General features: G+C 44.2%; 1 protein-coding gene and 1 long non-coding RNA gene across 6 annotated transcripts in view, besides 3 other annotated features; one reads left to right on the top strand and one right to left on the bottom strand.

Annotated features, from left to right (window-relative positions):
• Window positions 315-544: an enhancer, noted in NCBI's record as "active region_4363". NCBI's record gives its function as "activates an Ori minimal core promoter by ATAC-STARR-seq in GM12878 lymphoblastoid cells {active_cell/tissue: GM12878}" and the evidence as "EXISTENCE:reporter gene assay evidence [ECO:0000049][PMID:35858748]".
• The window catches only part of SYT9 (synaptotagmin 9), a 230,266-nt gene continuing 208,382 nt past the window's right edge, over window positions 5,319-27,202 (bottom strand). For 2 of the 5 annotated variants that reach the window (XM_047426379.1, NM_175733.4), the window contains exon 7: window positions 5,319-7,570. In XM_047426379.1, coding sequence (XP_047282335.1) covers window positions 7,562-7,570 — 9 coding nt within the window. In that variant the 3' untranslated portion in view covers window positions 5,319-7,561. Of the gene's footprint in view, window positions 7,571-22,637; window positions 22,875-27,202 lie in introns of those variants that run through there. The other 3 variants (XM_011519902.3, XM_011519900.3, XM_011519901.3) reach the window with 2 other exon arrangements.
• Window positions 6,381-6,440: an enhancer, noted in NCBI's record as "active region_4362". NCBI's record gives its function as "activates an Ori minimal core promoter by ATAC-STARR-seq in GM12878 lymphoblastoid cells {active_cell/tissue: GM12878}" and the evidence as "EXISTENCE:reporter gene assay evidence [ECO:0000049][PMID:35858748]".
• The window catches only part of SYT9-AS1 (SYT9 antisense RNA 1), a 28,209-nt gene continuing 9,533 nt past the window's right edge, over window positions 8,527-27,202 (top strand). The window contains exons 1-4 of the long non-coding RNA NR_103855.1: window positions 8,527-8,609; window positions 13,026-13,123; window positions 16,403-16,566; window positions 23,920-23,989. This is a non-coding gene — a long non-coding RNA (SYT9 antisense RNA 1). The remainder of the gene's footprint in view (window positions 8,610-13,025; window positions 13,124-16,402; window positions 16,567-23,919; window positions 23,990-27,202) is intronic.
• Window positions 22,287-22,798: an enhancer, noted in NCBI's record as "NANOG hESC enhancer chr11:7472795-7473306 (GRCh37/hg19 assembly coordinates)". NCBI's record gives its function as "activates a minimal SCP1, AML or CMV promoter by ChIP-STARR-seq in primed H9 embryonic stem cells {active_cell/tissue: H9 hESC(primed)}" and the evidence as "EXISTENCE:reporter gene assay evidence [ECO:0000049][PMID:30033119]".

Below are 27,202 nucleotides of genomic sequence, written 5' to 3'. Positions count from 1 at the left end.
CTCACATTGGATAAATTGATGGAGGAGCTGCCATGACTGAGGGTCACAGGTATCAAAGGAGACAGGAGGCTTCTCAGAAGACTAAACTACTGTGTTAGGTAGGCAGGTGCCTTATCTCTGGCATTCCCATGCAGCAACTTCTGTAAGAGTCAGAGAGCTTCTTTCTATAAAGGGATGCACAAAGTCAAGTCTCCCAGCTGTGGTAGGACCATGCTCCCCTCAGCCACTTTCAGGAAGGACATGGAGCCCTGCACCAGCCTCTTTGCAGCTGTTCCTGCACAATAATTGCATTTGTGCTTGTGTGTGTATATGTGTACAGTGGCCTAGAAATGCCAAGCACCATTATGTAAAAACCAGTGATGGGCTGGGCCAAGGCAGGAAGTTCTAGGCAGGGGTTTCCCATGGTCATGCTGTGTCTGAGTCCTTTGGGGATTGCCAAAGTCCTCTTAAGCCCAGAAGGGTAGAAGCCAAGTATAGTCACAGGTGCAGTGCTGTTTATCCCTCAGATATGGCCGTGACCTGGCTGCACCAGGGGCTGACAAGTGTCTGGCAGGATCCCTGACAGCAGAGAGTGTCTAGGAAGGTGAGGCCTGGAAATCACAGGATTGGTCAGTGGCAGAGCAGGTCCTCAGCCCCACCTCAGGAAAAGGCTGTCTCCAACCTGCACTGTGCTTGGTGGTAACTGGGTGGAGTTCCCTTTGTACTTTCTAGGAGCCAGCTGGTCTCCACCACTATGTCCAACTACCAGAATAGGGCAAATAATTTAGGATTAGAACCCAAAGAAGTGAGATCATGCACTAGAATAATTTCAAGTAGTGAGTAAAAGTTTAATCTTCCTTCCCAGTCATTAACCCCTGTATAATTACAGCTTCAAGACTGAAAGCTACCTTTCCCAAACTAGTGATTTTTCCTTGTTCCCTGGAGTCAAAGAAGGTCATAAGTTGAAGGTAGGTGGGGGAATCTTTCCTAATTTATATAAACACTTCTACAAGGACCTGCCGTCTTTATATAAACATCAGAAGACTTGAGGACCATGCTGGGGTCTTTTCTTTTCAAAGCCAGAAAAGGCCCACTGAGGGGCAATGGGTCCCACTGAGGCTTCACACATAGAAGTAGTCCTTTAGGAGGGATAATTGGTACCAGCAGAGAAGGGTACTGCTATAAAGGTAAAACTTGTTTCTGGAAGGTTTACTTACCAGTTGTTTATAGAGTTCATAAGCTCATCTCTAGAGCCCTGAATACAAATGTCTTCAGGTATTTGAAGAAAGGATTTCATTAGTCTTTGAGCTTTGAATTAGGCAAATTTTAAAAACTGCCTTTCTTTGATAAATTTAAATCTAAATCCAAGATCAAGCCTCTGGATACAGCTGCTGTGCAAAAGGAATTTTATCTAAATTGTGTGAATGTCTTGAAGATGATGTTCACTTGGTAGAAAAAAAAACTATCAATATTCCTATGTCAAATGGTTTTGAAATAACTTTAATTCAATGAATAAATTATTGGAATAATAGCTATAATAAATCTAGTATTGAGCCAAAAAATTAATTTTTCTATTATCTTTAATGTTTAAAATCACAAATTCAATTTTCAAAAAATAAAGAAAATGGATAAAAGCAATACCATCCATGTGCTATAAACTATAATATGCAATATTATCATCAATCCATTTCATATTGATATATATACTTTTTAAATTGTCTGGCAATGGTCATCCAGCTTTCACAGAGTAATCTATCTTAAGATATAGTTTAGGGAGGCAAAATCAATGACTCAAGAGGACAGAATCTGTGGCCCAGGTCCTTTTGACTTATTCTTTCCTTTCTACCAGGAGGAGGTGTCATGAGAACCACTAGCTGTTGTGAAAGTTTGGCATTAGCCTATGGATGAGCTGGGAGACCCTAATGACAGAGGCTTAGTCAAAATTTCTGGACTTCAGGGCTGGCTCCTGATCCTCTGAGGCCTTGTGGGCCATCTTTAATCTTTGTTGTTAATCCTTCCCAGGCCCAGAGCTCCTGGACACAAGTGGGAAGACACCAGGGAGTGAGGTGACAGAGGTGATCACGCAGCTAGTTGAATTTTGCAGCCCATATGCCCAGGGATCCCAGCAGCAAGTGACAAGTCTTTTGAGTGGAAGAAGGAAGTGGGTTCCTGCCATAGTCCTTGGGAGAAGCTTGATCTGTTCTCTTGGGAGACTGAGCAAAGAGAGCTTTATATCAGGGACACTGGAAGCAGGTCTGTGGCACTGCTCAGAGCTTGCTCCTTCCTTCCTTCCTTCCTTCCTTCCTTCCTTCCTTCCTTCCTTCCTTCCTTCCTTCCTTCCCTTCCTTCCCTTCCTTCCCTTCCTTCCCTTCCTCCCTCCCTCTTTTTCTTTCTTTCTCTATCTCTTTCTCTCTCTCTTGCTTGCTTGCTCACTCGCTTTTTCTTCCTCCAAAAGAACAGAGACTATTTTTGCCTCACATTCATCCTGGGCTTAGGGATGAAGACCAGGGCTCTCTCCTGCAGCTCCTAGATTGCCAATGTTCTCTTTTCCCATTTGCCTTGGAAGTTGTCCTGTAAGTCTTCCTTGGGGTACTTTCTTGACTTGTGGGACTTTTTTTCCAATTATTTTCTTTTCCTCAGTTTTCTATTTCACTTCTTCCATGAAGGTCAGCCTATCTTGGAATGCACTTGATAGAAAGTAGAATAGTGGGGCTGGGCGTGGTGGCTCATGCCTGTAATCCCAACACTTGGGAAGGCCAAGGCGGGTGGATCACCTGAGGTCAGGAGTTCGAAGCCAGCCTGGCCAACATGGCAAAACCCTGTCTCTACTAAAAATACACAAAAATTAGCTGGGTGTGGTGGTGGGCGCCTGTAATCCCAGCTATTCAGGAGGCTGAGGCAGGAGAATTGCTTGAACCTGGGAGGCGGAGGTTGCAGTGAGCCGAGATTGTGCCACTGCACTCCAGCCTGAAGTGGAGCGAAAATCCATCTCAAAAAAAAAAAAAAAAAAAAAAGAAAGAAAGAAAGAACGAACAAAGAATAGTGTATGCTATCCCAGAAAGGCCCCATTCATAACATGCCTCTCCTCTTGAAAGCTGATCTCAGAGACATACCAGCATTTCCTGAACATTGCCAAAGGCTTGACTCTGTCTTAGATGATCCCAAAGCAACACCTCTATAGCTGCGGAAGTGTCCACGGTGATTGCCAAAGGATACTGAGGGGTGTCCTTCCTCTTTGGTCCCGAGAGAGGACTGAAGAAGGAAGAGTCAGGAATTCCCATTAGAGAGAAAACCTGAGTCTCAGAGGAGTTTCACTGGCCACTCAGCCTCTGGTTGTGGTCTGTGCCAGCAACCAACTCAGGACTCCTGTGTGAGAGAGATACTCTTTGTAAGGATGTGGAAGGGCACAGTAAGCAACAGGTGAGCCTTCTTCTCTGGGTTGAGTTTGAATGGCAATACCAGAGGCTGGGCACTCCTAAGCTAGACACCCTCAATAGTCCCAGGTGGCTATCAGTGAAGTGGGTGGCCAGGGGCAGCTAAGTGGCCTGCAGAATTATCAGGAGCCACATACAGGCAGTAGACATTGTTTTTGGCTATATTCACATCCATATTAGTGTCCTTTTCTCAGTTCATTAAATTACTTTGCATAAAATTGTTTTCATTGAAAGTTCATAAGCACTGTATCAGTCAGAATCGGTTGCTTTTCTTTAGCTTATACTGTTTAACTGTCCAGTTTAGCTCTTCCCTTCTTCTCTACCCCTTATTACTCATTGCATTCTCCATGTGTGTTGAGCATTCGATGTGCTTTTAAAATGACAGCTACCTAGGAAGCCCTTTAACTCATTAACCTCCCCACTCCCACTCCCATCCCCACTTTCTCCAAAGATGGCCCTGATGAGCCACACCTTCTCGTATTCCATTCTTGTGTAATTTCTTTCCCGTTGAATCTGGGCTGATTCAAGATTATGACTTGCTCTTGACCCTAGTATGTGGCAGAAATGACTCTAGGTTCCTTTAGAACTTACTTAACAGAACCTTGTAGCATCTAGCTGGACCACTTGCAATGCTAGCTCTGGAGGAAGCCAGTCACTTTATCAGAACACTATCTTGAGATGTCCCTGTGGTGAGGAAGCCCGAACTAACCATATGGAGAGACTATGTGGAGAGAGATGTCCAGCCATTCTGCAGCTGTTCCAGTTATCTCAATTCCAGAGCCAGATGTGAGTGAAGAAGCCATTATGGACATCCATCCGAGGCAGGCATTCAGATGATGCCAGCCCCAGATGCCATCTGAGAGCAACCATGAGACTGCAGGGGAGAGCATCAACTAAGCTCAGTCAACTCAGATAATCATGAGAGACAATATATTTCTATTTAAGCCACTATGTTTTGGTGCTTTGTCATGCAGCAGTAAGTCATTGGAATGTCCCCCCTCCCACCCCCCGCATTGCAGGACAGGGTGGCCATGAAAATAGCAAGCCATTTTCCATACCTATCCTTTGTCAGTCTCCCTGACTCAAGTGTAAAATAAATAATTATTTTCTTCTCATCATATGAAATGTAGTTCTACTGATGGCCATGTGAACTAAACAATACCTTTTTTTTTTCTTTTTTAGAGAGACAGGGCCTTGCTCTGTCACCCAGGCTGAAATGCAGTGTTGCAATCTTGGCTCGCTGTAGCCTCAAGCTCTTGGACTCAGGCGATTCTCCTATCTCAGCTTCCTAAGTAGCTGGGACTACAGGTACATTGCTAATTTTTTAAAAATTAGCCGGGGGGGCGGGGGGTCTCTTTTGAAATTAGATGGTGGTCTCTCCATGTTGCCAGACTGGTCTTGAACTTCTGGTATCAAGTGATCCTCCCGCCTTGGCCTCCCAAAGTGCTGAGATTACAGGTGTGAGTCACTGCACCCAGCCCTAAATCATACCATTTAGAGTCATGATTGTTGGAGAATTTTGAAAACATCTGCATTGTAGAAACCTTTCCCCTCCCCTCCCTGACCCTTGCTCCTGTCATGTACCAGTGTACTTCCTGGACATCAAAGTGCCTGCTGCATATGTCCAACTCACTGGCTGGGAGGGTGCTTCAGCAGCAACACACATCAAGGGCAGGTCTCCTTGAAGCCAACAGAAGTAAGAGGAAGGGGCTGAGAATCAGTGCCAGTTGGGTGGGGGGACACCTGGCCTCTCCCTCTCTCGGCACCAGCTTTTCCCAAGGTCTGATCAGAATGTTTCCTTTCTACTGCCATGTCCATTTTTTCATGGTATTTTAATTTCCTTCTTTATCCTGGAAAAGACATTGGAGAATCCCCTTCCCCCAAGTTAAATAAGACAAGGTTGGAGTTTTTCAAAAGGAGCATTTACTAGGAAACTAAAGGGCAACCAAACAGAATGCAAGAGAACAGAGGCAGAGTTGCAAATGGGCTGAGGGAGTTCAAATTTATAACCAGCCTCTGCTCACAGCTGTACTGGCTAGGCAAAGCTTTCCAGACACAAAGCCACCTGCCTGCCATGTGGATAGTACTCTTTGCCTGCTTGCCCCTACAAAGCCACCTTCTATTTCATACCAATAAGCCAGTTGCATCCTCATTAGTATCCCAAGGCTGCTGGCTCTCTGGGCAGGAAGCTTCTGAGGTGGGGAACAGTAGGCACAGCTGCCTCAGGATCTCCAACCCAGGCTTCCATTGCCAAGGACATGTCAGAATTTATTGGGATTGCTGCCTGATATCTATTGGAGCCAGTCTGCTTTCTCTGGGACCATTCTTCTGGGCTCATCTGCCTAGCTTTACAGACAATATTTCTGCTAACTATCCTGGTGGCGCTAGCCCTTCATGTTTTGCTTCTAAACACTGGTATGGTGGAGGATGTCTGAATGAGGAGGGATGAGCAGAGGGGAACCTTGAGCAGAGGAAGCCAAGTTTTCCTTATGTCATCAGACATAGGCAGAACCTTGGATTCTCTTTGAATCCCAGTGGTTGGAAGCCAATCAGAGAAGTGAAGCTTGAATGTAATGACACTGCTTCCTACAAACAAAGGCCTATAGCCTTCTTAGATCTGCCATCAAAGTAGAGCTTCTTGTATAGTACTAGGCAGCTGGGGCAATGAGAACTTTCTGAAGACGTATAACGATCCTTCCTCCGCCCAGTTAGTTCCATGCTGAAATGTTAATTCAAACAGAGATAATGAGCTTTCCAGGAAGGTAAACTACAATCCAACTCTGGATTCTGCTGTAAAGAGATTGTGTGAAAAGAAAAATACTATCTTGGAGTAGTGGTGCAAATGTGTGGATGGGGTGCCTTGCACCTATAATGGGACAGAGAGGACCATTAGGTAACAGCCCCCAGTCCTCCCAGGATATGCTGAGGCCTTTGGTTTCATTTACGTGGAGGCAGAAGCAATGAGGATGAGGCGCATAGCTGGCCATTGGTTGGCAGACTTGGTCAGGAAGGAAGCTGAGTAATGAATGAGATGCCTGGGGAGGGCCCTTGACCTTCACTCTTGTAGGTATTTCCATCCCCAAGTGGTGTGAAAGTGATGTATGTGTCTGAAGTGAGAAGGAAACCTCTATGTGTGGTTGCCCAAGGCTATGACTCTGGGCTGTTGCATATGGAAATACCCCAGAAGGCATTCAGGCCAGAGAAGCCCAAAAGCTGTGCCTTTCTATAGGGGATGGCTGTGTTCTCTCTCCATGATCTCATCTCACCCATTGCTGTACCAGTTTCTGAGGCTGTTCCCTTAGTGGACGAATGTGCCTAGGAAAGGATATTCCACAATGCTCATGCCACTGAGATGTATGCCCTTCTAACTAATTACTTTTCATTCTAATAACACTCCCAGTTGAAAGGAAGGGGCTGCTAGCTACTGAGTGAGTAGTGTTGGGGGTCTCTGATTCCTCAAAATCTGGTTTTAGCAGAAAACAGGGCCATGTTGATACTGGTACTCTCTACCACGTGCATGGGAGGAGGCAGTGAATTTGCTGTGAACTAGCCCTCCTTGCATTAGATTTTTTCCAGGGAACAGCCTGCTTGTCTTGGTATTCTCTTGGGGCTATTCCTTGCAAATCTGGAGCACTTCTTGGGGCACAGTTATTTTCTGGAGACAGTCATTAGCTCAAAGGTAGTCATGTGTGAATTGAGATCTGCTGCCTATTTAGCACCTGGATATATTTTTAAATATTCTGTCCTTCCAGGGCATTCTAGAAAATAATATTATGTTGGAATAACGATTTCCAGGGCAGATGCTATGTCCTCATCACCAAGGGCTTCATATGAAACATTGAGTCCTGGTACTCTTGGTACTGTCACTATATCTATCATTTGTTTTTGTTCATAGTCCGATCTTGGTTCTTGGCATGAGAGACATGCTTCCCTGCAGCACATCACCTTGGGCCACCTGCAGAAGGTGGCTGGACCATTCAGGTTCACCAAACCCAATCTGGAAAGAAGGCCAGTTAGTGCTGTGGTTACAGCTGAGCATTTGGTCACTGAAATCGTCTGGATGTTGCTGGATGGAAAAAGTTACTTAAGATCTTTGTGAGATGGTTGTCCTATTTTGTCCTTGGCACAAGCAGTCCTCTTACCCATGGTCATCGTTTCTGCAGGAAGAAAAAACAAAAAAATAATTTGGCTTTCATTCATACATTTTTTTTCTTTTTTTTTTTTTTTTGAGACAGAGTCTTGCTCTGTCACCCAGGCTGGAGTGCAGTGGCGCGATCTTGGCTCACTGCAACCTCCGCCTCCTGGGTTCAAGCAATTCTCCTGCCTCAGCCTCCCAAGTAGCTGGGATTACAGGTGCCCGCCGCCACACCTGGCTAATTTTTGTATTTTTAGTAGAGACAGGGTGTCACCATGTTGGCCAGGCTGGGCTCGAACTCCTGACCTTGTGATCTGCCTGCCTCGGCCTCCCAAAGTGGTGGGATTACAGGCGTGAGTCACTGTGCCTGGCCCATTCATACATTTTTAATGTGCACCAAACAAGTGCCAGGCATGGTAATAGATGCTGGGGATACTAAGCCCATAAGTAGGACACTCCCCCTGCTTTCAAAGGGCTCACAGATGGAGATATTATGATGTGAGAAGCTGCATAGAATACTGCAGGGGCAATGGGAAGGGAGAAAGTAACTTCAAAGGGATTGAGGAGGTCTATAGAGAGCATTCTGATTGATGAGTCTTGAGCTAAGCCATTTAGGCTGAAGAGGAATCCCTCTGGAAAGAAGAAGGGTCACTTGGGGTAGAGGAAAGAGACTGTGCAAAGGCAGAATGCAATAAAGGGCATGGTGCATTGAAGGAATCATCACAATTTGGTGTGACTGGACTGTAGTGTGAGGAATGAAGTGGTCGGAGGTAAGGCTGGTGATATGATTTAGTTGTGCCCCCACCCAAATCTCAACTTGAGTTGTACCTCCCAGACTTCCCACGTGTTGTGGGAAGGGACCCGGCAGGGGAGGTAATTGAATCATGGGGGCCGGTCTTCCCCGTGCTGTTCTTGTGATAGTGAATAAGTCTCACGAGATCTGATGGGTTTATCAGGGGTTTCTGCTTTTGCTTCTTCCTCATTTTCTCTTGCTGCTGCCATGTAAGAAGTGCCTTTTGCCTCCTGCCATGATTCTGAGGCCTCCCCAGCCATGTGGAACTGTAAGTCCAGTTAAACCTCTTTTTCTTCCCACTCTCGGATATGTCTTTGTCAGCAGCGTGAAAATGGACTAATACAGCTGGGATGGAAAGATGAGGTCTGAGTGGTGCAACATCATTCCTTGTTTCCGAGATGTGAAGGAGGGGCTCTCTTAAGGAAGCCCCAGACTTAGACTAGCAGTATCTCTTGTGTTTCACACTCAGCCCAGCATTCAACTTAATTTAAACTCAGGGCACCTTCCAGCACAGATTAAATGTAGTAATACTGTGGCCATAGAGAGAAAAAACTGAAGTGACTTCTATGGATATAGGAATAACAAAATTTACACGTAAACTATAAAAGAGTAGCAACCATTCTGACAATGAAATTTATGGACTTCATTTCAGAGATCAAAAGTTCACATGTGAGGCTATAACTTACTTAAGGAAAGTATTAAAAGCCAGTGTGTTCACTGCAAAGGGAAACCACGTTTGATTGTGACCCGTGGCTTTGAAGTGTGTGCATGTGTGTGGGCACACACACACATCTCTGGGAAAGGGGTCTTTGTTTCTGTGTCTAGGAAGAAAGACTGAATGATATTTGTCTTAATATTGTGGTTCAAATATCAGTTTGCCAGATCAGCTGCTACCCTGGAGCACCATCCAAATAGCTCTACTTTCGTTTTTTTTGAGATGGAGTCTTGCTCTGTCCCCAGGCTGGAGTGCAGTGGCGCAATCTCGACTCACTGCAAGCTCCACCTCCCGGGTTCATGCCATTCTCCTGCCTCAGCCTCCTGAGTAGCTGGGACTACAGGCGCCCGCCACCACGCCCGGCTAATTTTTTTTTTTTGTATTTTTAGTAGAGACGGGGTTTCACTGTGTTAGCCATGATGGTCTTGATCTCCTGACCTCGTGATCCGCCCGCCTCGGCCTCCCAAAGTACTGGGATTACAGGCGTGAGCCACCGCGCCTGGCCCCGAATAGCTCTACTTTCTAAGCCACCATCTACATCAGGCCCGTGGTTCCCTAGCCGCTCTTTCAACTGTGAAACCCATACCCATATCAGTTTGCCAATTCCTGAGTTCCTTCCCATCAGAGAAAGCAAATTGTTAACAGGCTCAGTGTCACCAATGAATGTGGTCTGGAATTAGTTGTGATGGTATCAGCCCATATTCCTTCATTTTTGGGTACTTATTGTATGCCAGGCACTGGGATATGGACTTTACAAGTTCTTAAAAGACCCCGTGGGGTTCTTTAATGGAGGATGCAGCGTTGTAGAGACACTAATTTGCACAAGGCCACACTGTGACTAAGTGTCAGAGCTGAGATTTAAACCCAAGACTTCCAATTTCAAAGTCCAAGCTTTAGCAATTATGTCAATTCCCTCTGTAGGTCCAGTCTACATTTCTGATGTATTAAAAGTACTTTATCTGCCTTGGCTTTCTAGACTCCCTAAATCTAGCCAGATGAGCTTCCTTTAAGAACCCTAGTCCAAACTAGTAGCATACAGCAGGTGCCACATCCCACTTATGGTTTCCTAGCTGCTTATCCCATTTCTCTGGATTCCCCCAGCTAGTGACATGCATATGTATCTTGTTTGCCCCCACAGTTCTGTGCACAACCTCATTTTTCCCTATTATGACCTAATTTTACCTCTTCATTTAAGCAGTTCCTTCAGAATGCTTTGGGTTTAGCTCTCCCAAAGTACCCAGCCTTAGGGACCACCTCTGTACCTGATTTCTTATGGCCTGTCTAAAGCCTGCTTAGAGGGCTAGGCTGCAACCTTAGCCAATTTTTTTTACCAGTCCCCATACCCAGGGATACCACTAGCATTGGCATTGTTGCCAATGGCCAAGTCATAGCACAGCTCCCACCTGAACTCCATAGCTGGGTTTTGCTCATTTGGTGAATTTCCTTGTGTGTGTAATTAGCCAGAATCAAGGTCAGCCTCTGGAAATACGGCGGTGCAGCCTACTGGTCTCCCCCTTCTTAAGGTGCAGCCCTTCACTTGGGTGAGTTTTCTGGGCTCTGAATCTTTTCCTCTTCTGGACAGCGCCACTAAGGTCCTAGAATGCTTGTGAGCTGGGACCAAGCCCACAAGATGACAGGATTAAGGAGTTTCAATACATCTGGTGTCGTGATAGGGTCATTGCTACCAGCAATATTGCAAGAAAAGCCTCTTGAAAACAAACTTATTCTAGGGAAAGTCAAGCATACAAGTCAGTTCTGAAAAAGTTGTCTCAGGAGAAGACATGAGTAAATTTTGCTGTTGTTGTTCAGCCCCCTTTTGTCTGGCTTCTGTTGGGGGAAGACTAGAAAATCTCAACCAAATCAAACAAAATAAGCAAATTACACCTTTCCAAACTCCTATAACCTAGTGAGCTGTTTTTCAGCCAAAAATTGTATAAAACAAAATGTGAGAAAAGAAAGATTTTTCCATAATTCAGAAAAGCATTGACCCAGTGGGATTTTGTTGAGAGGAAGGTGGTAGAGACTCAGTCATCAACACCGGAGACAGTAACGGTGGTTTAATAACTGTTGAGCATAATGCTAGCTTGGCTGGTTCCAGTGCTGGTGCCAGCCCCATTTCCATGGGCAGAAGCAGCAGTGTCCTTGTTATGAGACCTGGTGGGCTCCCAGGCAGTACCAGGGGTTTAGAAGGTACCAACAACTCCAGTAGTATCAACAGGAAGTAGTGGTTACAATCCTATCTGAACAGAGAAGATTGTAAGTGAATTCAATTGTCCTGAGACATAAGGATCTAATTTGAATTAAATTGAATTGAAACCAAAGATGAGAACTGTCCTAATGAAAACTGTAATGTGAAGTGACATTTCGATCACAAAAATGACAGCTGATATGAGACAGGCCATTGAAACAGACCCCAAATTAAGAACATGAAAAGACAGAGTGAAACATTAGATAATATCTCTCTGTGAATCTGAAAATGGGACTTTATTACAGGAAGTACCTAAGGGCTCTGAACTAAGAAGCTTGTCAAAAATGGAAGTGATTCTTATTACATGATTTAATCTTATTATGTACTTAATATTGTTAAATTTACATTTAAAATTTTATTTAAAAAGCACAAAAATCTCAGGATTTTGTTGACTATTTATTGCTTACCACAGCTTTGCAAATATATGAAGATTCATCATGCTCTGCTGGTTTAGAATCTGATTTTGTTGACTGTTGCTTAGCACAGCTTTACAAATATATGAAAAATTATCACGCGCTGCCAGTTTACAATCTGATTAGCTTCTTTCTGTAAAGAGGACATTCTATTTTTTTTTTACTTCCTCTCTCGGCTTTAAGAACAAGTATGTTAAAGAAATAAAGCAGTATGAATGTGACTATACTGCCTTTCAGGAGATTGGGCCAGTAGCATGGAAAAATGAAAGGGTCCATTTGGGCAACAACTACTATTTATTGAGTGCTTAAGCACTAGCTCTATCCTAAGAGCTTTGCATACCTTATCTCATTCATGCCTCACCTTAACCCTCTGTGATAGATATTACAATTACAGTTTCACAGTGAGGTAACTGAGTCTGAAAAAGGCCAAATAATAAAGGTAGTAAATGGCAGAGCCAGAATCTGCCACCATGCTTTTATGGATTAAAATGTATGCTCTTAAGTGCTATGCCCAGAATGGTAAATTATTGTGCTTTGAATGGTAACTCCACTACAGCACCTTTCTAGAAAGGATTCTTAGTCCAGAAATGAATTCTGAACAGTCCAGACTTCACAGGAGAGTGTGTTAAGATTCACCGTCAAGTAGACCTTGAGGGGAAAGGTGGCAAATGGTGCGTGGCATGTGTGACATGTAGATTGTTATTTACTGAGAGGGGCTCATTAGAAACAATCAAGAAGCAAAGGCTACAGTGAAGGCACCATTCAGAAGGTAAGACAAGGACTGTCATATTTTTCGATGAGGTGGCAAGATAGGAAATTACTATAGGGCCAAAATTACTCTACCTGATGAAGTAAAGTGGAGGATGTTTGGAGTCTGTTACTTCAAATTAATATTCATTACATGTATTCATCATTCAACAAACATTTATTGAGCACCGGGCATTTGTGCTGAGCCCTAAGAAAACAAAGTTATGCTCAGCGCTGTGGCTCACGCCTGTAATCCCAGCACTTTGGAAGGCCAAGGCGGATGGATCACCTGAGGTTAGGAGTTCGAGACCAGCCTGGTCAACATGGTGAAACCTCGTCTCTACTAAAAATACAAAAATTAGCTGGGTGTAGTGGTGGGTGCCTGTAGTCCCAGCTACTTGGGAGGCTGAGGCAGGAGAATCACTTGAACCTGGGAGGTGGAGGTTGCTGTGAGCCGAGATCATGCCACTGCCCTCCAGCCTGGGTGACAGAGCCAGACTCCCTCTCAAAAAACAAACAAACAAAACACAAAGATAAATAATGCACATTCTATTCTTGAAGGGCTCAGTGTGGTCAAAAGAAGACTATAGAATCAAGGATGAAGAGAAGGAACACAGAATAAAAGGACGTCTCAGCAGGAAGCTCTGTGACTACTATGTGTGAGTGTGTGTGTCCATAATTCCATCTACCCAAATCACGGAATAGGAATGATAAAAGTTATAACAAAAATTCGATAAGGGTGAAATTGGAAAGATTCCTAGGATATATGTGATGCACTGGGTTATAAAATAAAATTCCATTAAAAAGCCTAGGATTGTCTCCCACTGACAGTACAGCAAGCAGAAGCCAACCAGAAGAAGAAACTTGCCTTATTAATTCATAGCTCTGGTAAAATTCCCCTGTGAGGCAACCAATGCCCCATCCCATGTCTGTGCACGGTTATTCTACCTCTGCAATTTGGGACTCAAATCTCTGGTCATCTCTGTAATTTCAATTCCTAGAAAGAGCTCCTAAACTGATCATTGTGTTCCTAGTAATTAGAAGAGTAACTGTGACACAGAAAGGGTTAACAAATAAGAATTATAAATGATGCTTTTGTGTAAACTTTATTTATTCAAGTGCAATACACATGTTGTTATCCCAATTTTTGTTTTTAAGCTAAATGCTTAACAATCTGATACACTAGAAAATTATAAGATTCATGATTTTAATGGACATATTTAGAATAACTTAACTAGTTAAATTTATAGTCACCATTTAAATGCTTAGGAAAATCTATTATACTACATTTATAAAGCTTATTTTTAAGATATTGAAATGCTTAACATCATTTCACCTAAATGTATAAGATTTTATTTGTTAGCATTATAAGAGTTACATGATTGAGAACAATTTTGTTTAACACCTGCATTAGATGTTTGGAGTGTTTAATATAATCACATTTTAAATTTGTGATTTTAGCTTGAAATATTCACAGAAATGTAGTTAATCAATTGCTTAAACAATGCTTAAAAATTTAGGAGAATTTTACTCACTAGATTTATATCTTTTTTCTCATTTAAAAATATTTAAGAGAATTTGATTAAACGTAAAATTGGTGTTTAAAAGTTTAGGAAAATTTAATCTGTCAAATTAATAAGCTAATGAGAATTTAGCAAAGAACAAGTGAAAAAAGTGTTTTTATTTCAAAACAGAATTATTAGATCTATAATCATTATAACAGTTAACATTATGTAGAATTTGGTATGTACTATTATAAGAATATTAGATATATTATTAATCCTTACCACAATCCTCTGAGGCAGGTACTTTTATTCCTGTTCTACAGATGAGAAAATCAAGGTACAGACAAGTTAGTGACTGCTTCGTCAAGTGTGTTAGTTTCTTAGGGTTGCCATAATGACGTATCACAAACTGGATGGCTGAAAATAACAGAACTTTATTGTCTCACAGTTCTAGAGGCTAGAAGTCTGAAGTCAAGGTACCAGTGGGCCCATGCTTTCTCTGAAAGCTCTTGGGGAGAAGTCTTCCCTGCCTCTTCCTAGCTCTTAGTGGTTGCCAGCAATCCTTCGCTTATAGCTGCATCACTCCAATTCCTGCCTCCATTGTCACATGGCAGTCTCCTGTATGTCCCTCTAGGTCTTTATATGGCTTTCCTATAAGGACACTAGTCATGGGATTTGGTGCCTACCCTGATCCAGCATAAGCTCATCTTAACATGCCTGCAAAGACCTTATTTCCAAATAAGGTGACATTCTGAGGTTCTAGGTAGATGTAAATTTTGGGAGGACACTATTCAAACCAGTACCCCACCAATATCCAGCACATTGGTAAACCCAATGTCAGTTCTTAATCTTCATTTTATTTACATCTTATTTGTCACATCTGGGCATTCCCTCTTCCTGGAAACAATTTCTTTCTTGCCTTCTAGGATACCAAACCCTCTTGGTTTTCTTACTACTTCAATGACTTGCTCCTTCTCAGTCTATCGGTTTCTCTTCTTTTCTTTACCTTTAAATAGAATGTCCCAGTTCTTAGTCCTGGGACCTCTTCTCTTTACCATTTACATCTCATCCATTTTTACAGCCTGATCTTTCTCTGGAACTCTAGATTCCTGCATCTAACTGCTATTTTATGTTTTCCTATGGATATCCAATAGTTGCTTCAAACCTATTAGGTCTAACTCCTGATCATCCCACATAGGTGCTCTACCTGCAGTCTTCCTGAGCTCACTTAATGGCAGCTCTATCTTTCCACGGTCAACCTTGGAATCATCCTTTACTTTTCTCTCTCATACCCTACAGAAAACCCTATTGGGTCTCCCTTCAAAATATACCCAGAATGTAACCATTTCTCACCATGTTCCTTGCTTCTACACTGTCCAAGCCTCTGTTATTGCCATCTAGATTATAGCAGTAGACTCCTAATGGGTATTCTCACGTCCAACCTTGTCATTATCTAGTCTATTCTCAACACAGCAGCAGAGAGATCAGTGATAACTTTGGATCATGTCACATCTCTCTTAAAAATTGCCATGTTGGCGAATGAGCCAAAGTACTTTTGAAGCTCTACTGGGTTCCAGTTACCTGAGCTCTGCCCGCTGTTACCTTTCTGATCTCATCCCCTACTTCTCTCTCTTTTTTCTCTCCTGCATCCCCCACATTACTCTCCTCACTATCCTCGTGTGAACCTCCTTAAGGCCTTTGTATTGGCCGTTCCCTTAGCGTGTATTTCTGCATGGCCACAGGGCTTGCTCCCTCACCTCCTTCAAGTGTTTGCTCAAATATTGCAATTGTTTGTGAGCCCTACAATTACCTCCATTAAAATTAACCCCCTGTAAAAAGTAAACAATCTATGTCACACTTCTGATCCCCATTGCTTGCTCTATTAAATTAAATTAATTAATTAATTTTTTTGAGATGGAGTCTCACTCTTGTTGCCCAGGCTGGAGTGCAGTAGCATGATCTCGGCTCACTGCAACCTCTGCCTCCCAGGTTCAAGTGACTCTCCTGCCTCAGCCTTTTGAGTGGCTGGGATTACAGGCGACCGCCACCATGCCCGGCTAATTTTTGTACTTTTAGTAGAGAAGGGGTTTTGCCATGTTGGTCAGTCTAGTCTCGAACTCCTGACCTCAGGTGATCCGCCCATCACAGCCTCCCAAAGCGCTGGGATTACAGGTGTGCGCCACCGCACCCGGCCCTATTTTATTCTTCATAGCATTTACCTTCACTATAACATAATACATCTGTGTCTCCCACTAGTCAAGTTTCACTAGAGCAAAGATTTTTGACTATTTTGTCCCTAAAAATGTATCTTCAGCACCTATAGTAGGTATTCAATCAATATTTGTTGAACAAATAAATACATCCTTGAAACTCCCATTTCCTTATGCAAAGTGATTGTTTCAAAGGAAGCTTGATTGATTCTTACTTGAACAGAATTCTTACAATACAGCAAATGATGCCATACAGTGAAGCACCTTGAAAGATTGCTGGGATAAGCTGACAGCATGGCAGCCAAAATAGTGACCCCAGGCTTGCAGGAATTCTGTGCTTTCTGGAGGAAATGGTCATGGGTTTCCCAACCTGCCTTTTAAACTAAGGTAAGTCTCTTATAAAGACCTTTATGAGAACTGTTTGAGCCCTCATGACACTGCAAATCCATCTGAGATGATGACTGGGACCTTCACTGCCACTGTCTTCATTCTCATGGGTGTTGCCTGGCTCTTTGGCATTCAGAGCTAGCTCTCAGTTGCTTTGGTGCATTAATAGAACCACTATGCCTGTAGATTTGAAGAAAAATTGACATGGAGAATTTATCTAAGAAATCAGTAAGTAAAACTTGTAAAAATCATTTTACAAGTTGTAAGATAGAAGAAATTGAAATTCTGTCCAACAAGAACTTATTCAATGCTGACTTTGTGCCAGGCATTTTGCCAGGTGCTTGTTATACAATGATGAATAACACTTAGGCCCATTCTCAAGGAGCAGTGGGAGGTGCTGGGGATGACACACACACAGATAATATCAAGTGGCACCAAATGCTATGTCAGGGGCAGGCACAGGGTGCTAGGAGAGGATAGCACAGACGAGAAGCATTTAGCTCATACCACAGGATCTTCAGAATGCTTCCTGAAGAAGCTGACAACTGATTAGATGCTAAAAAGACAGGCTGGATCTAGGCAGGAAAAGAGGGGTTGAAAGGACAGCACAAGAAAAAGTTAAAGCAGAAGCAAGGGCATGGGGGTGAATAGAAAGCACTGTGTGAACCACCAGCCATTAGGTGTGGCCCCAACATAAAGTATAAGGAGGAGATGGAGGCAGGGTCGCAGAGGACCTTGAATGCCAAGGTAGGGAACTCGATCTTGATCTTGTTCAGAATGAAGGGCAGTTATTGAAGGATTTTTAAGTGGGAGAGTTACATGCTCAGATTTGTACTTTAGTACTTGAAGGAGTGTAGAGGTTGGATTGAAAACAAATAAGAGAGTCAGAAAACCAGAATTGAGTGATAGTATGGGATCAGCTGAAGCACCCCTCTTGCCTTGACAGATCTCACTGAGCCTGGCCCTGTGGAATTACTGGTGAGTGAGGATGGGAAGGAGGTCGTTGCCTTTAGCACTTGAGAACTCTAGGTGGCTGGTCCCAAAACAGGACGGGGCTGTTTAAATTTAGCATTTCCTGAATAGGGACCAATGGAGTTCTGAAAAAATAAGTCAAAAATATAAATACCAAAGAGATAATGAATGAAGAGTCATATATTTATCACCCACTCTCAACTGACCCTAAACTTTAGTGAACAATAAAATGGACATTAGATCTGTTCACCTGTGAACTTGATTTCAGGATATCACCATTACCACTTATGGAGGGTGGCCATTTTCTGGCTAAAGAGCAAGATCCCAAGGTCCTCTAGCTCTCATTTGCCTGACATGGGGAAGACACTGGAGGGAGGTGTAACCAGCCTGCTGCATGTGCAGGCAGCTTGCCTCTCTCCTCTGGGTGCCTCCACCCACTGTGAGGAGCTGTGTGCAGACTGTACCTTGTTTTAATCCTCCCTTGAGTACTTACACACTGACCAGCCCCCTCCTGCCTCCTGACTATTGCATACTGGAAACTTCTCCATGATCAGAGAGCAAAAGCTCAATTGCCATGTTTAGTAAAAGGTCTGCAGTAAGTCCAAATCAACTAAAAATAGTCAATTTAGTGGGTACTGACAGACCCTATGCCCCAGACCTAAAGAGTTCACATCAGGAGAGAAGACAGATGTATCCAACTAACTACAAAATAAAAATGAGAGGTGGTAAGTGGTAAATGTATAATCAAATACAATCTAAATACAATCAAACTATTAAGGGAGTACTTCATTCCAAATGGGGCATTGCTCACTAGAAACTTCATGGAGGAGGTGGCACCTAAAATGAACCCTGAGGATTATGTAGGACTTTTAGACAGTGGGTGACTTCCTTCTTGGGCACCTGCTGGGATCAGCCCCATCTGACTGGATGGTGATACTTGCTTTAGCAGACATGACCCAGGGAAAGGCCATTTTTGCCCAGAATTTACACAGGTCACAAAGAGCAGCTGTAGAATGCATAGCCTATTGTGATACCATGAGGGACTAAGTACCAACCCCATGAAGTCCTCAAGCAGGGGCCTTCACCCCTTTCCCAGGACCTTCACGTTCTCCTTTCTTTCTCCAATGGTGATTTACAGATGTGTTTTTCTGTATTTGGGAAAAAGTCTCAGAATTAGCTTAAATGAGCCAGGGACAATGGCTCATGTCTAAATCCCAGAACTTTGGGAGGCCGAGGTGGGTGGATCACTTGGATCCAGGAGTACAGGACCAGCCTGGGCAACATGGTAAAACCCCATCTCTACAAAAAAAAAAAATACAAAAATTAACCAGGCGTGGTGGCGGGTGCCTGTAGTCCCAGCTACTTGGGAGGCTGAGGTAGGAGAATCGCTTGAGCCCAGGAGGCAGAGGCTGCAGTGAGCCGAGATGGCGCCACTGCAGTCCAGCCTGGATGACAGAGCAAGAATCTGTCTCAAAAAAAAAAAAAAAAATAGCTTAAACATTGGAATGTTGTATGGAATATACACATCTAATAGGTTGAATAGAACTTCATTTTGAAAAGTCAATTAAATGTGTGCTAATTTTAGAAAATGTATTGTCTTGCAGCTTGCTTTTTTTTTCTCAGTGAAAGAGACAGAAACAAAGGCCCTTAAATGTGTTTGAAAAGAGGATACAAGATAAGAAACTTTCTTTTATCCTTAAAGGTTTAGAGGCTTTTATTGATATGTTATTAATAATATTAAGATTTTTGGCACTATTCCAACTATTAGCTTTTCATCTCAAAGATACTCACAATGTCAAAACAAATAAAACCTATTAGCTGAATTCGTTTTCTCTCATCTGTGTATCTGCTGTCCTCTATACACTGTGGCTGATAGTAGGCCACGGCATGTATCTCTCAGCCATGCTGTTAGCATTGGGCCTTTGTGTGACTTAGAAACAGAAGCCTCCTCCAGGCAAACTCACCACTTGGTGAGTGGAGAGAAAGCTGACTTTGAGCTGACTTTAGCTTCACACATCTCCTCATCCTGGCACCCTAGTGAAGAAACCACCTGCAAGACAGTGTGTTGGGGTGCTGGGGAAACAGCTCTTTGGGGAGGTATCAGGGGCCTTAGGTTATTAAAGGTAATGCCCAGGTCCAATCTCAGAATGAGAGGCTGTGTTATTCTGCATAACAATGTAAAATGTGTTCCCCGTAGGCAGTTTCCTATTGGCAGAGACAATTATGATATTAGATGGATGTTTCTTTCCCTGGCTATAGAATTTTTAATTTCAGTTACTCGCATTGTCTTCACTCGTGTTATCCCCAGCCCTTAGGAAATCTTCATTAAATGCTATAGTCTGGCATTTGCATGCTTTGGGGGAATGGGGAAAGGGACTGTGTCCGTGCTTGGGATAGGATGTGGGGATAGGGCAGGGAGAAGATGGTGGCTGGGAGAAGCAGCTGAAGGCCTCTAAAGATGGCTGTAGAGAAGCCTGGAGTGCAGCAGAGAGCGGAAATGGTAAGCATCATCTGGAATCATGAGATGCAAAAAAGACCATTCCTCAGGCCACTGCAGAGACAAATGGGAGGAAGACATCAACTAAGGGCTAGAGAGAAAGGGTGGGGACTCAGGGTATTTGAGTATTAAAATGAAGGGTGATTCTGGGAGCTGGAGGCTTGGACTCTCATCAAGGGCTGGAAATCAGGTAGGTAGCAAGGAAAGGAAAGAAAAGTGACTGGGGAGCAGCAATGTCAGAAAAGGGGCGACTCACCTGGACTTAGGGATTGGTATCCTGCCCTGTGGGGAAGCTGAGCCCTCTTGGCCAGCTGGGAGCCTCTGGCCTGTCAAACAAGAGGAGACCACAGAGGGTGCCTGCTGAAGGAGACTGGGCTTAAGGCCTCTTCCCTGGTGCTCCTGAGGAGGGCGACTGAGATCTGAACTTAGGGGCCATGCCCTCTGCGCCCTGGCCTGACTCCCTTTCGGCCTCCTCTCCTACAACTCTACCTCTCGTTGCTCATGGTCCTGGCCACACCTGCCTCCTCTCTACTTCTGGACAGGCCACGCTGGTCCTTGCTCCAGAGATGCATGCTGGCCATCTGCTCTGTGATGGAAATGCACTTCTCAGGCCTCTGCTTGGCTGTCTGCTTCTGGTCAGTCAGGGAAAGTGTCATTTTCTCAGGGCCTTCCCCAGCCACCCAGCACAAAGGAGTGCCCCATCACTGCTGTCACATCTTGCCTTTGTATTTGCATCGTCCAGCTTGTGATGACCTATTTTCTGTTCAACTGTATGCAATTTGCCTGTCTCCCTCCACCAGAATGCAACCTCCACGGCACAGGGGTCCCCACTCACTGCCTTGCTCAACACCTTATTCCCAGTGTTGGGAATAGCATGTGGCATATGGCGGGGCTCAGTAAACACTGGCTGAATGAATGTGTGCATGCTAGAGACCAGGACAACTGAAGATGGTCATGGGAACTGATGATAGATAAGCCAATGGCTGGCTCCTAGGGGTTACAGAAACACTTTGGAGTATCTTCCCAGCTTGTACTGACAGTACCCACTCCTCCCCATAGTGGGCACGCCACCATGCCTGGCTAATTTTTGTTATATTTGTAAAGACGGAGGTCTCAGTATGTCTCCCAGGCTGGTCTAGAACTCCTGAGCTCAAGCAATCCATCCGCCTTAGGCACCCAAAGTGCTGGGATTACAGGCATGAGCCACGGTGCCCGGCCTCATTTTATTCTTTAAAGGAGTTTCAGGGCCGGGCGCGGTGGCTCACACCTGTAATCCCAGCACTTTGGGAGGCCGAGGCAGGGGGATCATCTCAGGTCGGGAGTTCGGGAGCAGCCTGACCAACATGAAGAAACCCCGTCTCTACTAAAAATACAAAATTAGCTGGGCGTGGTGGTGCATGACTGTAATCCCAGCTACTCGGGAGGCTGAGGCAGGAGAATCATTTGAACCCAGGAGGCGGAGGTTGTGGTGAGCCGAGATCGCATCATTGCACTCCAGCCTACGCAACAAGAGCAAAACCTCACCTCATAAAAAGGAGTTTGGGTTAGGTTTTCTGTTCCTAGAAGCCCAAAGCATTCTACTTGACTCAGGGTGTGATAACTGTCCCGTTCAAAGCTCTCTGGGCAACTGGCTCCATTGCTATCTTGTATGGAATTTATGTTCTGCTCTAAGGACCAGTCTCTCTGAAAGGAGTATGGGTAAGGCAAAAATAAAAACAAAAGCACTCTGGAAGGGAAGGGGACGTTCAGAGCTGTCCTAATGGACAGACCAGGAGCAACATGTGGAAACCCCAGTGAGATCATTTTGACCGTATAGAAGCAAAACTTTGTCAAAAATTAGAACTTCTTCAGAGCAGCCTCTCAAGACATTGCACAAGAGGATGAGAGAAGATTGCCTTTGAAATGGCCCCAACTTACGTACCTACACCTCTGTGGGAAAGAAGCAGTGGACAGAGTCAGAGAGCAGCTTTTCTGAGTGAGGAGAACTGCAGGGAACAGAATCAGGAGTGAGAAGGCCTCTGGGAGCCAGGACATTCTTATCTAATACTTGAGGCCAATGTGGCAACAAGCAGAAGTGCTTGTGAGTAGATTTTCTACATGTTAATTACTTAAGATTACTATACTTTTGATTTATTTTACACTTGAATTTGATTTCTTATCATTGTTTGTTTTTCCTCAGTGTGTGTGTGTGTGTGTGTGTGTGTGTGTTTTAAATATAAACCTCTATTAATGCTGTCAGTTCTGTCTTACTTAGTGACCCTTGATTGCTCATTCACATTTTAAAATTAACCACTGGGTATTTTGTGTATTTTTTCTCTGCTTTTGTGTGTGCAGACTAATTTTCTAGCTATCTCTTTCTCTAGAGTTGGAATCCAACCAGCAGCAATGTCAGATTTGTTGTTGTCGGTCATGAGGTACATGCTAGTCCCTTGCAAGGAACAGTTTCAGGCACAGCTGGATCCAGAGGTTCAGACAGTGTCATCAGGACTCATTATCACCTTCTCTACTTCTCAAGTATGCTTTCTTTTGTTTCACTCCATCCCGGAGTGCACTCTATTATTTTGATGGTGAGATAGCAGCCAACAACCCCACATTTGCATCCTCACAGCTTCAAGTCCAGTGGAAAGATGTGACTTTTCCGGATAGTTCCAACAAAATTCCTGGGCCTAAATTGGGTCACACACTCACCCCGAACCAATCCCTGAATGTGATGATTGGGCTTAAGCCTGGGGAGATGCAAAGACATTCCTGGAGCTGAGGATGTGGATGCCTCTACCCAAACCACATGGTTAGAGGGGGAAGAGGGGTGAGTCCTCAAAGGAAAATGTGGTTCTTTTATCTGAAGAGGAGAAGAAAAGCTGCATAAGCAAAGTCATACATTTTCACTTCAGGCCTTTTCAAGCTAAGATAGCGAGGGAAATTATGTTCTGCTTTGGGGGAGTAAAATCTTTGCAAATACAACATTTAGTCTTAACAGAATGCAACATTTAAAAACACATCTGTGGGAAAACCACACAGAACACAGCATGCCTTCTAAAGTAAAAAAGAGTATTCCATTAGCTTTCAGAGTTTTAAAAACAAAGGGCTTTCTGTTAATAAATTTTAGTGCATATTATTCAGTGCATGTCCTATGTCCTACTGGGTTTAGAAATTATGGTTATTTTGAAGCATTTGATTAGGTGGGGAGGAAACATCAGAAGCAAAACAACTGAAAGTACATTAGCAAAAAACCTACATCACAAATCATTTGGGAATGTGAAGTCATAAAGGATGATGAATCGGTGCCAGCAGGATGGAAACAAAAGAATTTTCTTAAAAATTCTAAGGCATTGTTCTAGTTTTAATTGTTAAGTGAGCTGAATAATAACAGCTGAGAAAGAAAAGTCTTTTAAAACCAGCATTACTGTGTGATCCCGACACTGACCATGTCAGAAACTGATTGTGCTCTGACTGGTATAGCTGTGTCTTCAAAGCCGCTTGACCAGCACAGATGTGAGGTTGAGAGGTTTGCTGACATGTGTCGGCATGTGTAAAACTTTTTCCAGGGAGAGGGCAAGAGAAGGAAAAGAAAAGTTAAACTGGAATTCCAGTAGGTTGTGAGATTCATCTTGATGATAAAATAATGAAGAGAGAAAGCCTTTCCTAACAGGTGGAGAGAAGTAAGTCCGCATTTGGACCCAAATAAGCTTGGTAGCTATGTCCAACAGGCAGAGATGGAGGAACACTGTGAGTTTAAATCTGTATTTTGTCAGCTTTTCTTACAATAACAACTCCAAATCTTAGTTGCTTACAACAATACACACTAATTTCTTGCTGATGAGTTTGTGGTTGGCTGCAGCTCTGCCAGACAGGTAGAAATCTACTTCTGCGTCTTCTTGTTCCAGGACCGAGCTGAAGAAGCCCCCGTCTTCCAGCGCATGTTATTCCCATGACAGATGCTAAAAGTTCAAGGGGGTGAGTAGAAACATGTGGAACTGGCATGTTGTCATCCTTTCATATTCTATTGATTGAAGCAAATCCCAGGCCCGAGTCCTAAGTCATTGGAGTCAAGACCCTGACAAGAGTGTGCTGGGGCATATAACCATGAAGAAATAATACCATCTACCTTAATCTGATAGCTCGGCCAGTTATTTGCCTCATGATGTTGGATAAATTAGTTAAGCCTCAGCTTCTTTTATCTGGGGAGACAAAACTGTTTACTTCACAGGGTGAGAGTTAAACTGGGGATGCCTGTACAGCACTGAGCACAGTGGTCTGGATAGAGTAGAAAATGTAACATTGGATTATTATTCATCGGAGGGATCATATTACAGGCAAAGCATGCCTGCTTGGGAGGCGGGCAATGACTGGCATCGGGGAGAAGGCAGACAGGAGTTGAGAAGTTAGCTGGGCACAGGGGAGGGGGTGGTAGTTGGGCAGGCAGGAGAGGGTTTAAGGTGGTGGGAAGAGCAGGGGCCCACCAGACCCAATGCTCACAAACACTGGGGAATGGACGAATAAATGGGTACATGAGGAGAGACAGTTCAGGCCCTCTCTCAAACAACTCTAGGAGAACAGCTGGTCTGAGGATGGCTGTGGCTTTATTTTCTAGGATAGCCTGGTCACCTTGCTTCCTGTGGGTGAAGCAGACTTTGCCCCTTGAGATCAAACCTGGCAGGCTGTGCTTTCCACACCCCCAGTCCAGTTGCTTTTCTTGTCCCTACTGTCATCATATCCTGCCCTGTACTTCCCCTTCTCCAAACCAGCCCCCACTTCCACTGTCTCCAGCCTTCCTCTGGTGCTCCACACCTACCTCCCCTACATCCTTAATCCTTCATGTAAACTTTCTATCCACTTTCTCACTTCAACTGAATCCTGGTTCTCTTTTGAAGTCACAACACTTTCTTTGTAGCACTCTCAAGAGGCCACTTAGTCCCTCACATTCCATGCATCTATGCACCTCAGGGTGGCCTGGCAAGGTTGTCGCTTTTGCTCCATTTTTTTTTTTTTTTTTTTTTTTTTTTTGAGGTGGAGTCTCACTCTGTTGCCCAGGCTGGCTCACTGCAACTGTTGCCTCCTGGGTTCAAGCAATTCTCGTGCCTCAGCCTCCTGAGTAGCTGGGATTATAGGCATCCACCACCATGCCCGGTTAATTTTTGTATTTTTAGTAGAGACAGGGTTTTGCCATGTTGTCTAGGCTGGTCTCAAACTCCTGATTTCAAGTGATCCGCCCACCTTGGCCTCCCAAAGCGCTGGGATTACAGGTGTGAGCCACCATGCCTGACCTCTTTTGCTCCTTGATGCCTTTGCTCCTCCACTTTCTTATAACCCTCTGAGTCTTGGCTTCTCCTCCCTGGTTCCATCAGCAACACCCTTGGCCACCCTCCTTCATTCTGTGAAGACTAAGCCCCTGCTGCTCCCAGTTTTCCTTTCCACCTCAAGCCCTGAATCTGCCCCACCCCAGTCAACTGGGCCTGGCAGCCTTCTCATCCTTAGTGATGACCCATCCACCGTGAAGCCACGACTGAAAAGAGGGGTTCAGGTCTCTGGGGAAGCTGTAGAGACCCTGCCCCTCACTCATTGGGCCCTGCTAAAGAATGACGTTTGAAGGCCTATGAAAAGTGAGTTATTTTAAGATAATTCTTTTTGCTCTGTAGAGCAGGTTTTGCCACTTTTTCAAACTATTTCAGTATGTCTGGAAAACAGAACCACACACCACACAACATCGGAGATGCAGGGGGCACAGTTGCCATTTTCAGCGTAGATTGACGTGCATAATCGCAGCATGAAATTGCAATCAATAAAGCACAGTCATCTTGCTAAAGCGGCACACTCACAGCAGATGCTGTCTTCCTTGGAACAGGAGGTGTGTGCTGCTACCCCGTTCCGCCTTGAGGCGAGCCGCAGCAGGGATTTGGAGCCCTGAACGGAGAAGATGTGCATGAGGTGTCTGTGTCCACACTGCTTTTAGCAGGCGCCATCAAAGGCAATGATGTTTTCCCCAAGTCTCAAGCCAGATCCCTGCACCTGAGTGTGGCGCCCTCTCACTGTAAAGGCTGCATTCAGAATAAATCCCAGATAGAACCAGATGGCTCTGAAGCCCTTCGGAGAGAAGGCCTCCCCATTTCTCCTCAGTTTCACAAAGTCACTAGACTGTCTCAACAATATTTAGGATATTTGTGAAATATCCCAAAGTTCACGGGACCCCGAGCCCCATGGCTATTCTCTCCTTGCAGACTGTCAAGGCTTTGCTTAAAGCCCCTACAGAGAGGCAGAGCTCATGCTGTTAGGCAAAACATGAGATGCTGTTGGTGAGGGTGTTTTTCATTCAGCTTTTTCGAGTGTAGACATTTGAACGTGCAATCTTCTGAAACCATACAATGACTGTCAATGAAGGATCCCTAATTTCTGAGTCAGGAAGGAATTTGCACACTTCATGCTGAGCAAATGAGAAGCTGAACCCACCCTCTTGCTCTCATTCAGCCAACACTGGGCACCTAGTTGTACGCTGGGGCCTACACAATGGCCTCAGGATTCAGAGATGAATGAGATACAGTATCTGTTCTCAGGGAACTCATAGTTGATTCAGGAAAACCAACACAAAATTACAAAATAGCATTATGGGAGCTATCACAAAGATATATATACAGAGAAAAGGTTATCTGTATGGCCTCAGGATTCAGAGATGAATGAGATACAGTATCTGTTCTCAGGGAACTCATAGTTGATTCAGTAAAACCAACACAAAATTACAAAATAGGATTGTGGGAGCTATCACAAAGATATATATACAGAGAAAAGTTTATCTGTATGTTGAGTTCGAAGGAAGTGAATGTTTGTGAGGGAGCTTTGTGTAGCTATCGCAGACAAAGAGAACAGCATGAGCAAAAGCAAAGTGGCACCACAGAGCAGTGTTGCCAGGGTACTAGAAGTGGCCTGTGTGCTGGGGCCGGGGCATAAAATGTTCAAAAGCAGTGATGGGCTGTGCCTCCAGATAGAGAGGGGTCAGGTTGTGAAGGCCTCTGTGTGCCCTCTAAGGAACTTGGGTTCTAACCTATAAAAGGAAGCCACGGAGAGCCAGAGAGAAAGATGGAGAATTGGGGTGAGGTACCAGGGTGAGTCATGAAGGGGGCAGGCAGTTCCCTGAGGTATTCACTATGGTACAGGAAGGTGGCCACATCTGTCCCT

Source organism: Homo sapiens, chromosome 11, assembly GCF_000001405.40.
Source record: "Homo sapiens chromosome 11, GRCh38.p14 Primary Assembly".
In the NCBI taxonomy this organism is placed as follows: domain Eukaryota; kingdom Metazoa; phylum Chordata; class Mammalia; order Primates; family Hominidae; genus Homo; species Homo sapiens.
The sequence above is the reverse complement of the archived record's forward strand: the minus strand, read 5'-3'. Positions and strand labels throughout refer to the sequence as shown.